The sequence below is a fragment of the Homo sapiens genome, chromosome 11, assembly GCF_000001405.40.
Source record: "Homo sapiens chromosome 11, GRCh38.p14 Primary Assembly".
Lineage (NCBI taxonomy): Eukaryota > Metazoa > Chordata > Mammalia > Primates > Hominidae > Homo > Homo sapiens.
In genome coordinates this window covers 30,060,001-30,074,304 of record NC_000011.10, presented here as the reverse complement: position 1 = coordinate 30,074,304, position 14,304 = coordinate 30,060,001, and the positions used below count along the sequence as shown (strand labels likewise).

Genomic DNA, 14,304 nt, shown 5'->3' with positions numbered 1-14,304 from the left:
CTCAGAAAGAAAAATATTGCATAATCTCACTTACAAGTGAAATATAATTTTTCTTAAAAAAAGCTCATATATACAGAGATAGAAAATGAAACAGGTTACAATGGACGGGGAAGGAGGTTGGGGGAGAGGAGATGGGGAGATATAGGTCATGTGATGCAAAAGAGTAGCTATTTAGGAGGAACAGGTTTAGACATCTAATGTATAATATGAGACTAAAGTTGATAAGATCGTATTAAGGGTTTTCATTAAATAAATAGATTTTAGTGACTTTTGTCACAAAAAAGGAATTATGTGAGATGATAGATACGTCAATATACTTCACTATAATAATCATTTTACTATCCATAGGTATTCCATCACGTCATGTTGTAAACCTCAATACACAATAAAATTTATTTTTTCGAAAGAAAAAATATATTTTGAAAAAAATTGACACAATAAGCTTTTCTCCATGTAAGCATTAACGTACACTGAGTGTAAAAGCCCACGTATATTATCTTGTTCCAAGCACTACTCCAGGTGTCTTCCTTATAGCATCTCAATTAATACTTACATATCCTCCCCTCTTCTCTGCAAGATAGATAGTATTTTAACCCTGTTTAAGAGATGAGTAAACTGAAACACCAAAAGATTAAGTACCTTGTCTAAGGTCACATGCTAAATGGCAGGGTCAGAATTTGAAGAAAGGCAATCTGACTTGGAAGTCCATATTCTTCAATGCTATACACTGTCACCCCCCTGGGGCTACTACAAGAATAGGGTAAATACGCATACATGAAAACACTCTATAAGTGGCAAAGTGCTAAAATATCCCATATGTATAGTTGAAAGAGAAATGGAGTTGATTTACATCACAATCATATAACTTCACAGCTGTGTGACCCTGAACAAGACACTTATTTCATTGGGCCTCTGCTTCTTCAACTGTGCAAAAGAACAAATAAAAAATGTGATGCCTATAGGGAGGTACTTAGTAAACTGATAAACTATTAAATGAACATAAGTTCTTCTCATATATATTTATATTTCATCTGATTCAATTGACAAAGTTCTTTAGAATGGATAAATAACATTTCAGCAAAACAAAACCTTGAGTTTATTTTATAAAGAATAATTTCTAGAAAGTGGTAAGCCCAGCTACATTGCTATTATCTCTTATATTTAAATCTCTCTATACGGAGGGCAGTTTAAATCTTTGAAAATCTGTTTGGTTTCCTTCTTAAATTTTTCCTCATTTGCCATCACAGAGAACACTTTTTTTTTTCTTTTAAGATAGGGTTTCACTCTGTCACACAGGCTGGAGTGTAATGGTGAGATCATAGCTCACTGCAGCCTCGAATTCCTGGGTTGAAGTGATCCTCCTGCCTTGGCCTCCCAAAGTGCTGGGCTTACTGCTGTGAGCCACTACACCTGGCCAAGAACAATTTCTAATCCTATTTTTTTTATTTTAAAACACACTGAATAGCTAAATGCCACTTAATATGGAAACCGGATTTCAGTTTGCTATATGACGAAGCTTCACTACACATGTATTAAAAAGGCAGCATGTGTATTGTTGAGTGTTGACAATGGGCTCAGGCTGCCAAGGTTCAAATCCCAACTCTATCACATATAGTCTTTGTGACCTTAAGCAAGTAGCTTAACTGCTTTATACCTGCTTGTACATCTGTAAAAATGGAGGGTAGTAATAGTAACCTCACAGGATTGTGATGTGGGTTAAATGAGTTTTGTTCATGAATTATTTAGAACAGTGCTTACCACTTATTAAATATTCACTAAATATGAGTTATTATTATATTTGTATGATTTGAAATTTCTTCTCTTTCCATATCTCGTTTTCATATTCATAAAGTGGGAACACTGTTACATTTTATTTCTGGTTAGGATTATAGTACATTCTCAATTTGCCTAGAGAATGTTTTAAGCTCTGTAGGTGCTATGGATCTACAAAGGGTAACTGTTGTTCCATTTTTAAAAAGGAAAAGGTAATTACTATGTGGTCTTTTTTTTTCAGAAGGAGCATTAGTCAACACGGTTTTGTTTTGTTTTGTTTTTGTTTTTGTTTTCTTAGCACACACAGAGGTGGAAGCTACTGTGGCATGATTCAAATGACGTAGAAAGCTCAATTCTGGACTGAATTAGAATGTTTTTCCCATATCGGAATTTTTGTAACTGCAATAGGAGAGCAGGAGAGTGTCAGTTTCTATGTGGAAAAGAGAGCCTTTTATAAGAAACACACAGTATTTTCAATAGAGTACACAAAGAATCTGTTTTAAACTGCCTCTCCCCTTAAAAAAGTGAAACCACATATTTTTCTTTGCATGCTATGTCTACAACGGCCCTCTCCTTTATAGGTAGTTTAAAGGTATGCCAGGAACCTCCCAGAACAGCTTCTCACCAAGCCCATTTCTAGTTTTGTTCCCTGGTAGGAAGCAGCAAAGCTTACAAGCTTTGTATACGAATTATTTAGAACAGTACTTTCGGATGAGGGTTTTTCCCCTATCACCACTGGGGACTATCTGAGCCCTCTTATTGCCAAACCGTCACCTCATAACATTGACTGAGACTGGCTCAAAGGAAAAGTCTATTTGAGTTTATAAAATAAATAGCTATCTGTTAGTAAAAGATTGTGACTAATAGAATCCTGTCATTAGCAAAACTCTCATTTAATTAAAGAAGCAAAAGTTTCTATGAAAGCAACCTCCTCTTCCCAACATGTCAAATTTAAAATCAAGCAGAAAAGGATGCTTAGGATTTTTGCTAGTTGAACGCAACTGAGCTGTGAGCCTTATTTAACAGGATTCCTGATCTGCTATGCCAGACTCAGGTGAACTCCAAAGAATGGACAGGGAATATATGCTTATTAGGATACATATTGGGGGAAATGCAGAGGGGAGCTGGGGGAGAATTGTAGCATTCTGAATGCAGAATGCACCCAGCCTATCAGGGAATAAGGGTTAAAAGTCTCCACATGCCTGAGTGAAATGAAACCTGGAAGAGTTTAGAACCAAGGTTCCTGCTATGTGTCTCTAATGGGTCAAGAAAACCCCATAGCAGAGACCAAGAGAAGTCCAAGACACAGCCTGAGTGTAAGTAGAGCAGAGTCTTAGATCTCAGTCATGTCAGTGAAGACAGAGCCATGACCCAAGTAAACAAGGATTGGGAGGGGAGATGGAAAAGGTTTCTGAGTAAAATTATTATCTCTATTCCTTAAAATGGGCAATAGGCACCAGCCATGGACACCAACAGAGCCATTGGTTTCCTCACATGAGGATGATAAGTAATTATGCTAGAAATTTAGATAATCTCCCAAGAGAAAGGGGGAGAGAAGAACTCTAAATTTGGCTACCTAAAATAAAATGAGTTTAGATTGGAAGTGTTTAAGTATCAATAGGTAAAACTAAACTTTTGCCTTCTAAGCACAAGAGGCAAATTTTTATCCGCACAGCTAAATTTGGTGTAATAGGCTCCATCACGGAGGACAAGAAATAAGAGGAGGAGTGTTCACCTCCATGTGGGGAGAACCAAAGGGTACAGAGAAAGGAATTTTGAAATTAATGCACTGTAGGTTCTTAAGGCAAAAGTCCTCTAACTTTCATTTCTATCTTCTCTCCTTACTTTGAGAGAGGGCTGGGAAAACAGTTACTAGGGCCAGCTTGGGTTTGGAAGCCCTGCTTAAAGTTTTGCAAGGCCTGGAATGGACTTCCCATTTTCACGGTTGCCTGCAGCCCACTTCCATGTATTGATTTGCACTTTTCATGTTTAAAATAAGACTTATGGCAAACAACATGGGTTCATTTTAAAATCTGCACAGATACCAGTAGTTGGATGGGGGTTGACAATGACTTAGAAAATGGTGCCTCTGAGTTTTCGAAGCATTAAGCTCCTTTGTTATTTGCTTACTCTTTTTTATGCCCATGGCTTCCAAAGCAGCAAATGAAATGAAATCAATACAATTCCCAGAAATGAGGTCTCCCATGTTTTCCCTGGCAACCAGGGGTTATAGCGTGTGAGACCAAATATTGAATTTCATCTTTAAACTGACTGACTCAAACAATTGCTTGTTTTGTGCATAACAACATATGTCCATTGACAAGAAAAAGTGTTCTGTATCAGGGGCCAACAACCAATTTTAAGGATAAATAATGGAAGAAGAATTGGGATATAGAATAAGAACAATAATTTACTGAGATCAATGTCTCTTATGAGAATCTAAATGTTAAAGAGAAGATCCGTCTTTGAAATTGAGATTGAACAGGTGAACTGGTACTACACTATGCTAGTTCTGTCAAGTAGATAGTTGGGAGACTGAAAGATGATAGCAGAGATAGTAGAATAGGAGCTGAGGACAAGACTCTTTTATGTTCATTAATTAGGTAAACATAGGTTGAACATACACCATGTACCAGACACTGTTCTAGACACTGGGAGATAAAATGTCACTACCCTGATGGCAAGAGAAACAGACACATAAACAAAGAAGATAATACACATAAACAATGAGGATAATATGATCACAACTGGTGGTGTTTTGGTGAGATGTCTCTTTAATAGAGAGAAAAGGGAGGGTGGGATGCACTTTGCAGGCAGAGAGGATAGCTCATTTGTAAGATCTGAGGGAAAAAATATACCTGTAGTTAACAATATGGTATTGTATCCTTTAAAATGTAAGAGCATAGGTCTCATGCTAAGTGTTCTTGCCAAAAAGAAAAAAACTCCAAATGACAGAAAAAAAAAAAACAAAAAACCTCACACACAAAAGAACACAAGGAAAATTTGGAGGTAATGGATATGTTTAGTACCTGGGTTACAGTGATGGTATCGTTGGTGTGTGCATATGTCCCGTATGTCCAAACTCATCAAGATGTGGACATTAAATATGTGCAGTTTTGGGGGTATGAATTATACCTCTAAAAATGTTTAAGAAGGAAGGAAGAACAAAGATCTGAGTAAGAAAGGAACCAAGTAGAGCATTTTTGTTGTTGTTGTTGTTATTGTTGTTGTTTGACACAGTGTCTCACTCTGTCGCCAGGCTGGAGTGCAGTGGCAAAATCTTGGCTCACTGCAATCTCCGCCTCCCAGATTCAAGCAATTCCCCTGCCTCAGCCTCCCAAGTAGCTGGGACTACAGGTGCGCACCACCATGCCTGGCTGATTTTTTGTATTTTGGTAGAGACGAGGTTTCAGCATGTTGGCCAGGATGGTCTTGATCTCCTGATCTCGTGGTCTGCCCGTCTTGGCCTCCCTAAGTGCTGGGATTACAGGCATGAGCCACCATGCCTGGCCCCAAGTAGAGCTTTTGAAAGAACAAGAGAAAGTCAATAAAGCCAGGGGGCCTGGTGTACAATGAGAAGGGAAAGATGGGTCAGATAAATCTGGAAGCACAAGCAGGGACTTGAGTATGCAGGATTTTGAAATTTGCTTAAGAACATTAGGAATCTGTTGAATAATTTTAAAGCAAGTAAATGATAGATGGGATGATGCTTATAACTTTTATGAATTTTACATATTAAGGTATACTTACATGTATTGAGGTATAATTTATATACCAAAAAAATCACAAATTTTAAACATCTTATTCAATAATTTTTAGTAAATTTACAGTGTTGTGCAACAGTTCTCTCAATCCAATTGAGAAGATTTAATCATGAAAATTTCCCTTTAGCATATTTACAATTAATCTCTGTTCCCTTCTCCAGCCCCAGTCAACCACTAATTTGATTTCTTATAGATTTGACATTTCTTCAGATTTCATATAAATGGAATTGTATAATATGTAGTCCTTTACTTCTGGCTGGTTTCACTTCACATAATGTTTTTGCAGTTCAGCCATGTTATAAAATGTGTTGATATTTCATTCTCTTTTATAACTGAACAGTACAGTGTATGGATATGTCATATTTTGTTTATCCATTCACCAAGTAATTGGTGTCAAAAGACAAAATTACAACAAACTTAATTAAGATCTTAATTGGCTTTATTGTGATTTCAGAACTGGGCAACACTTCATTCCATAAAATAGAATAAGTGTTCTGATGACCTGAGCAAAAGGGGTTGTGTTAGGGCTTCATGCAGAAGCTTTGTGCAAAACAATTAACATCTTAACTTAAAACAATCTATTACAGATTCAAACTTACAACTTAATTTTGATAGTATACATCGGCTTTGCTCTCCTATAGCTCCATTGCCTCCCTACTTGTGTGCTATTATTATACATATTACTTATTAGTACATTTCAAGCACATTGACACAGTTTTATGTCTTTTAACCATATGCAAGAAGAAAAGTGTTACAAACTAAAATATATTTATACTATCTCTCATATTTGCCTATGTAATTACCCTTATTAATCTTTCTATTTCTTCGTATTAGAGTTACTCTCTAGTTTGTTTTCATTTCTCCTAAAGGACTCCCTTTAGTTTTTCTTGTAGGGTAGGTTTGGTAGGGATGAATTCTCTCAGTTTTTGTTTACCTAGCACTGTCTTAATTTCTCTTTAATTTTTGTCAGATAGGTTTGCCAGATATAAAATTATTCATAAGGAGGGTGTTCCAAGATGGTTCAAAAAGGAACAGCTTCGGTCTGCAGCTCCCAGCAGGATTGATGCAGAAGACAAGTGATTTCTGCATTTCCAACTGAGGTACCTGGTTCATCTCATTGGGACTGGTTGAACAGTAGGTGCAGCCCACAGAGGGCAAGCTGAAGCAGGGTGGGGCATCGCCTCACCCGGGAAGCACAAGGGGTTGGGGGATTTCCCTTTCCTAGCCAAGGGAAGCTGTGACAGACTACATGGAAAAATGGGACACTCTTGCTCAAATACTGTGCTGTTCCCAAAGTCTTAGCAACTGGCAGACAAGGTGATTCTCTCCCGTGCCTGGCTTGGTGGCTCCCACTCCCACAGAGTCTTACTCACTGCTGGCGCTGCAGTGTGAGATCAATCTGCAGGATGGCAGCCTGGCTGGCAGAGGGGCATCCGCCATTGCTGAGGCTTGAGTAAGTAAACAAAGTGGCTGGGAAGCTCTAACTGGGCAGAGCCCATCACAGCTCAACAAGGCCTACTTCCTCTAGACTCCACCTCTGGGGGCAGGGCATAGCTGAACAAAAGGCAGCAGACAACTTCTGCAGACTTAAACCTCACTGTCTGACAGCTCTGAAGACAGCAGTGGTTCTCCCAGCATGGCACTGAGCTCTGAGAACGGACGGACTGCCTCCTCAAGTGGGTCCCTGACCCCCGTGTAGCCTAACTGGGAGACACCTCCCAGTAGGGGCCGACAGACACCTCATATAGGCGGCTGCCTCTCTGGGACAAAGCTTCCAGAGGGAGGATTAGGCAATAATATTTGCTGTTCTGCAGCCTCTGCTGGTGATACCCAGGCAAACAGGGTTGGGAGTGGAACTCCAGCAAACTCTAATAGACCTGCAGCTGAAGGACCTGACTGTTAGAAGGAAAACTAACAAACAGAAAGGAATAACATCAACATCAACAAAACGGTCATCTACACCAAAACCCCATTTGTAGGTCACCAACATCAAAGACCAGAGGTAGATAAAACCACAAAGATGGGGAGAAACCAAAGCAGAAAAGCTGAAAATTCTAAAAATTAGAGTGCCTCTTCTCCTCCAAAGGATCACAGCTCCTTGCCAGCAATGGAGCATGACTGATGAGTTGACAGAAGTAGGCTTCAGAAGGTCAGTAATAACAAACTTCTCTGAGCTAAAGGAGAATGTTCAAACCCATTGCAAGGAAGCTAAAAACCTTGAAAAAAGATTAGACGAATGGCTAACTAGAATAAACACTGTAGAGAAGACCTTAAATGACCTGATGGAGTTGAAAACAATGGCACGAGAACTTCGTGATTCATGCACAAGCTTCAATAGCCGATTTGATCAAGTGGAAGAAAGGGTATCAGTGATTGAAGATGAAATTAATGAAATAAGGTGAGAAAACAAGGTTAGAGAAAAAGAGTAAAAAGAAATGAACAAAGCCTCCAAGAAATATGGGACTATGTGAAAAGACCAAATCTACGTTTGATTGGTGTACCTGAAAGTGATGGGGAGAATGAAACCAAGTTGGAAAACACTCTGCAGGATATTATCCAGGAGAACTTCCCCAACATGGCAAGGCAGGCCAACATTCAATTTCAGGAAATACAGAGAACACCACAAAGATAATCCTCCAGAAGAGCAACCCCAAGACACATAATTATCAGATTCACCAAGGTTGAAATGAAGGAAAAAGTGTTAAGGGCAGCCAGAGAGAAAGGTCGAGTTACCCACAAAGGAAAGCCCATCAGACTAACAGTGGATCTCTCAGCAGAAACCCTACAAGCCAGAAGAAAGTGGGGGCCAATATTCAACATTCTTAAAGAAAAGAATTTTCAACCCAGAATTTCATATCCAGCCAAACTAAGCTTCATAAGTGAAGGAGAAATAAAATATTTTACAGACAAGCAGATGCTGAGAGATTTTGTCACCACCAGGCCTGCGTTACAAGAGCTCCTGAAGGAAGCACTAAACATGGAAAGAAACAACCGGTACCAGCCCCTGCAAAAACAGGCCAAATTGTAAAGACCATTGATGCTATAAAGAAACTGCATCAATTAATGGGCAAAATAATGAGCAAAAATCATAATGCCAGGATCAAATTCACACAGAAAAATATTAACCTTAAATGTAAATGGGTTAAATGCCTCAATTAAAAGACACAGACTGGCAAATTGGATAAAGAGTCAAGACCCATCAGTGTGCTGTATTCAGGAAACCCATCTCATGTGCAAAGATGCACATAGGCTCAAAATAAAGGGATGGAGGAAGATCCACCAAGCAAATGGAAAGCAAAAAAAAGCAGGGGTTGCAATTCTAGTCTCTGATAAAACAGACTTCAAACCAACAAAGATCAAAAGAGACAAAGAAGGCCATTACATAATGGTAAAGGGATCAATTCAACAAGAAGAGCTAACTGTCCTAAATATATATGCACCCAATACAGGAGGACCCAAATTGATAAAGCAAGTCCTTAGAGACCTCAAAGAGACTTAGACTCCCACACAATAATAATGGGAGACTTTAACACCCCACTGTCAATAGTAGACAGATCAATGAGACAGAAGGTTAACAAGGATATCCAGGACATGAACTCAGCTCTGCAAGAAACAGACCTAATAGACATCTACAGAACTATCCACCCCAAATAAACAGAATATTCATTCTTCTCAGCACCACATCACACTTACTCTAAAATTGACCATATAGTTGGAAGTAAAGCACTCCTCAGCAAACGTTAAAAGAACAGAAATCACAACAAACTCTCTCTCAGACCACAGTGCAATCAAATTAGAACTCAGGAATAAGAAACTCACTTAAAACCACACAACTACATGGAAACAAAACAACTTGGTCCTGAATGACTACTGGTAAATAATGAAATGAAGGCAAAAACAAAGATGTTATTTGAAACCAGTGAGAACAAAGACACAATGTACCAGAATATCTGGGACACATTTAAAGCAGTGTGTAGAGGGAAATTTACAGCACTAAATGCCCACAAGAGAAAGCAGGAAAGATCTAAAATTGACACCCTAACATCACAATCAAAAGAACTAGAGAAGCAAGAGGAAACACATTCAAAAGCTAGCAGAAGGCAAAAAATAACTAAGATCAGAGCAGAACTGAAAGAGATAGAGACACAAAAAACCCTTCAAAAAACCAATGAACCTAGGAGCTGGTTTTTTGAAAATATCAACAAAATTGATAGGCCACTAGCAAGATTAATAAAGAAGAAAAGAGAGAAGAATCAAATAGATGCAATAAAAAATGCCAAAGGGGATATCACCACCAATCCCACAGAAATACAAACTACCATCAGAGAATACTATAAACACCTCTATGCAAATAAACTAGAAAATCTAGAAGAAATGGATAAATTCCTTGACACATACACACTTCCAAGACTAAACCAGGAAGAAGTTGAGTCTCTGAATAGACCAATAACAGGCTCTGAAATTGAGGCAATAGTTAATAGCCTACCAACCAAAAAAGTCCAGGACCAGATGGATTCACAGCTGAATTCTACCAGAGGTACAAGGAGGAAATGGTACCATCCCTTTTGAAACTATTCCAATCAATAGAAAAAGAGGGAATCCTCCCTAACTCATTTTATGAGGCCAACATCATCCTGATACCAAAGCCTGGCAGAGACACAACAAAAAAGAGAATTTTAGACCAATATCCCTGATGAACATCAATGCAAAAATCCTCAATAAAATACTGGCAAACCAAATCCAGCAGCACATCAAAAAGCTTATCCACCACGATCAAGTCGGCTTCATCCCTGGAATGCAAGGCTGGTTCAACATATGCAAATCAATAAACATAATCCATATATAAACAGAACCAAAGATGAAAACCACATGATTATCTCAATAGATGTAGAAAAGGCCTTCAACAAAATTCAACAGCCCTTCATGCTAAAAACTCTCAATAAACTAGGTATTGATGGGACGTATCTCAAAATAATAAGAGCTATTTATGACATACCCACAGCAAATATCATACTGAATGGGCAAAAACTGGAAGCATTCCCTTTGAAAACTGGCACAAGACAGGGATGCCCTCTCTCACCACTCCTATTCAACATAGTGTTGGAAGTTCTGGCCAGGGCAATCAGGCAAGAGAAAGAAATAAAGGGTATTCAGTTAGGAAATGAGGAAGTCAAATTGTCCTTGTTTGCAGATGACATGATTGTATATTCAGAAAACCCCATTGTCTCAGCCCAAATTCTCCTTAAGCTGATAAGCAACTTCAGCAAAGTCTCAGGATACAAGATCAATGTGCAAAAATCACAAGCATTCTTATACACCAATAACAGACAAACAGAGAGCCAAATCATGAGTGAACTCCCATTCACAATTGCTTCAAAGAGAATAAAATACCTAGGAATCCAACTTACAAGGGATGTGAAGGACCTCTTCAAGGAGAACTACAAATCACTGCTCAATGAAATAAAAGAGGACACAAACAAATGGAAGAATATTCCATGCTCAGGGAGAGGAAGAATCAATATCGTGAAAATGGCCATACTGCCCAAAGTAATGTATAGATTCAATGCCATCCCCATCAAGCTACCAATGACTTTCTTCACAGAATTGGAATTTATTACTTTAAAGTTCATATAGAACCAAACAAGAGCCCACATTGCCAAGAAATCCTCAGCAAAAAGAACAAAGCTGGAGGCATCATGCTACCTGACTTCAAACTACACTACAAGGCTACAGTAACCAAAACAGCATGGTACTGGTACCAAAACAGAGATATAGACCAATGGAACAGAACAGAGGCCTCAGAAATAACACCACACATCTACAACCATCTGATCTTTGACAAACCTGACAAAAACAAGAAATGGAGAAAGGATTCCCTATTTAATAAATGGTGCTGGGAAAACTGGCTAGCCATATGCAGAAAGCTGAAACTGGATCCCTTCCTTACACCTTATACAAAAATTAATTCAAGATGGATTATAGACTTAAATGTTAGACTTAAAATCATAAAAACCCTAGAAGAAAACCTAGGCAATACCATTCAGGACATAGGCATGGGCAAGACTTTATGACTAAAACACCAAAGCAATGGCAACAAAAGCCAAAATAGACAAATGGGATCTAATTAAACTAAAGAGCTTCTGCACAGCGAAAGAAACTACCATCAGAGTGTACAGGCAACCTATAGAATGAGAGCAAAATTTTGCAATCTACCCATCTGACAAAGGGCCTGGGGGAGGGATAGCATTAGGAGATATACCTAATGTAAAGGATGAGTTGATGGGTGTAGCAAACCAACATGGCACATGTATACCTATGTATCAAACCTGCACGTTGTGCATATGTACCCTAGAACGTAAAGTATAATAAAAAAAATAAATTTCTTCATTAAAGGTCTTCGTCTTTCAGCCCTTTGAACATACTATCCCACTTCCTTCTGGCCTCCATGCTTTCTGATGAGAAGTCATCTGTTAATCTTAGGGAGTATTCCCTGTACATAAGCCTCTTCTATCTTGATGCTTTCAAGAATTTCTGTCTTTCAATAGGCATTTTATGATGTGTATAGGTGTGGACCTGCTTGAGTTTATCCTACTTAGAGATTTTAGAGTTTCGTACATTTATAATGTTTTTCATCAAATTTGGGAAGTTTTGATAATTATTTCTTCAAATATTTTTTCTTGCTTCTTTGTTTTTTCTTCTTCTTTTCTGAGATTTCCATTATGCACATGTTGCCATACTCAGTGATGTCCCACAGTTTCTGAGGCTCTGTTAATTTTTCTCCAATCTTTTTACTTTTTGTCCCTCACATTGCATAATCTCAATTGACCTGACTTCAAGTTTACTGATTCTTTCTTTTGTCAGTTCAAATCTGCCATTGAGTCCCATAACCACTTCAGCTTTTGTACTTTTCAACTGTGGAATACTTATGTATATTGATTCTCATCATTCTTATGCTTTTCTTTAGTTCTTTAGATGTAGTTTCCTTTCTTTCTTTAAATATATTTATAATAGATGATTTAAAGTCTTTGCCTATTAAGTCCAACATTTGGGCTTTATCTGGGAAAATTTCTATTGACTGATTTTTTTTTTCCTGCATATGCACCATACTTTTTCTGTTTGTCTCACAATTTTAGTTTTTGTTAAATTAGACATTTTAAATAGCATAAGTAGTAACATTGGAAATCCAATTTTTTTTTCTCCAGGGTTTGTTGTTGTTGCTTTAGTTGATGGTTTGTTTAGTGACTTTCCTGGACTAATTTTGTAAGGTCTGTATTATTTGTCGTATATAGTTTTGCCACTGTGTGAATAGTCTGGCACTGTAATGTAGTCTTTGCTCAGTTATCTTAGTGGCCAGATAATTATTGGACTGAGACTTTCTTAAATTCTTTGAACAAATTAGCCTCCTAATCTGTGTAGGGTTTCTGTGTGTTTGTTGAGGCATACCTTCAATGCTGAGTTAGGCAGTTTACCGCTCAGCCTTAGCTTATACTCCCTGTTTGAACAGAGCCTGGAGGTTAACCAGAGGGAAAAGATTAGAGCCTTCTTCGGTTTTTCCTGGGCATAAGCACAATCTGCACATGTATGTGGCCTTACAGATTCTCACAAGCTTATAAACCCCCTATGGCCATCTCATTCCTCAGTTTTTCCCTTTAAGTCTTCTGTGGAGCCTCTTGTAAGTCTCTACAGATATTAATACTTGAAACTGCTGTGATATTAAATAATTGCCCTGATTGCTTTTGACAAATGACCTAGGAATAGGACTGTTTGCACAGAGTGAGCTTTAAATTAGGTCAAATAAACATAAACTCTAAGAATGGAGCTATTGAGAACATTTTCAGACAGGTCAACTAGTATTAGTTCTCAGGGTATGGGGCTTTTTAGAAATGCCAAATATCAATTTTTCCCCATCTGTTGGCTGCTGGTCTGCTGTCTTTTGCAGCTCTCATGGTTGTGAGACTATTTATTTTCAAGGTTGTTGCAGAGCTGGAGATGGGGTAATAGAAATAGGGTAAGTTAAAATGTCACAAAACTCATTGTTCTTACTGAGATTCACTTTTTTTAAAAAAGTAGCAAACACTCCTTGGATTTTTGTAAGACTTTGCCTAATATCCTGAATTCTGAGAAAGTTGATTTATTCAAATTTTGCCAAGGTTTTTATTGCCTTTATGAAGGAATAGAATTTTCAGGTTCTTACTCAAATATGCCAAGAACATGCCTCCTTAATTAAGCATTTTGTGGTACAATGGTTTTTCATTTTAATGACATTCAATTTATCAACTTTATACTTTTTTGGATCATGCTTCTGATATTGTTTTGGAAATATCGTTTTTAATTTCTAATAAATATCTATGTGAAAATATTAGATAGTTGGATATTTGAGTGTGGAGTTCTGATTAAATATCCAGGATGGGGATATCAATTTTGGAGTCATTAGTAAATAGATGTGATTGAATGGGGCCATAAAAGCAATAGGTAGACAGAGAAGAGAACAGAGTTTAAAGATCATGACCAGTGGCATTCCAACATGAAAAGGAAAAGGATATGAGGAAGAGCCAGCAAAGAATCCCACGAAGAGTTCAGAGAATGGAAATCCAGGTAACTGTGTTGGCTTGGCAACCGAAAGAAGAAAGTGTGTGAAGGAAGAAAGAGTGATGAAGCCTATCAAATTATTTTCCTGGGGCTAATAAGACAAGGTTGGCCATGTCTTTGGCAATGTGGCACTTATTAGTTTTGGTGGGATGTTGGAGGATAGCACCTACAGGAAGTT

At 38.0% G+C, this 14,304-nt stretch overlaps 1 long non-coding RNA gene across 7 annotated transcripts in view; it reads left to right on the top strand.

The window, feature by feature from the left end:
- Window positions 1-14,304, top strand: part of ARL14EP-DT (ARL14EP divergent transcript) — a 279,977-nt gene that overhangs the window by 248,642 nt on the left and 17,031 nt on the right. Inside the window, exon 5 of one of the 7 annotated variants that reach the window (NR_187436.1) lies at window positions 6,512-6,637. The exons of the other annotated variants lie outside the window; for them this stretch is intronic. This is a non-coding gene — a long non-coding RNA (ARL14EP divergent transcript). The remainder of the gene's footprint in view (window positions 1-6,511; window positions 6,638-14,304) is intronic. 7 annotated transcript variants of the gene reach the window in all.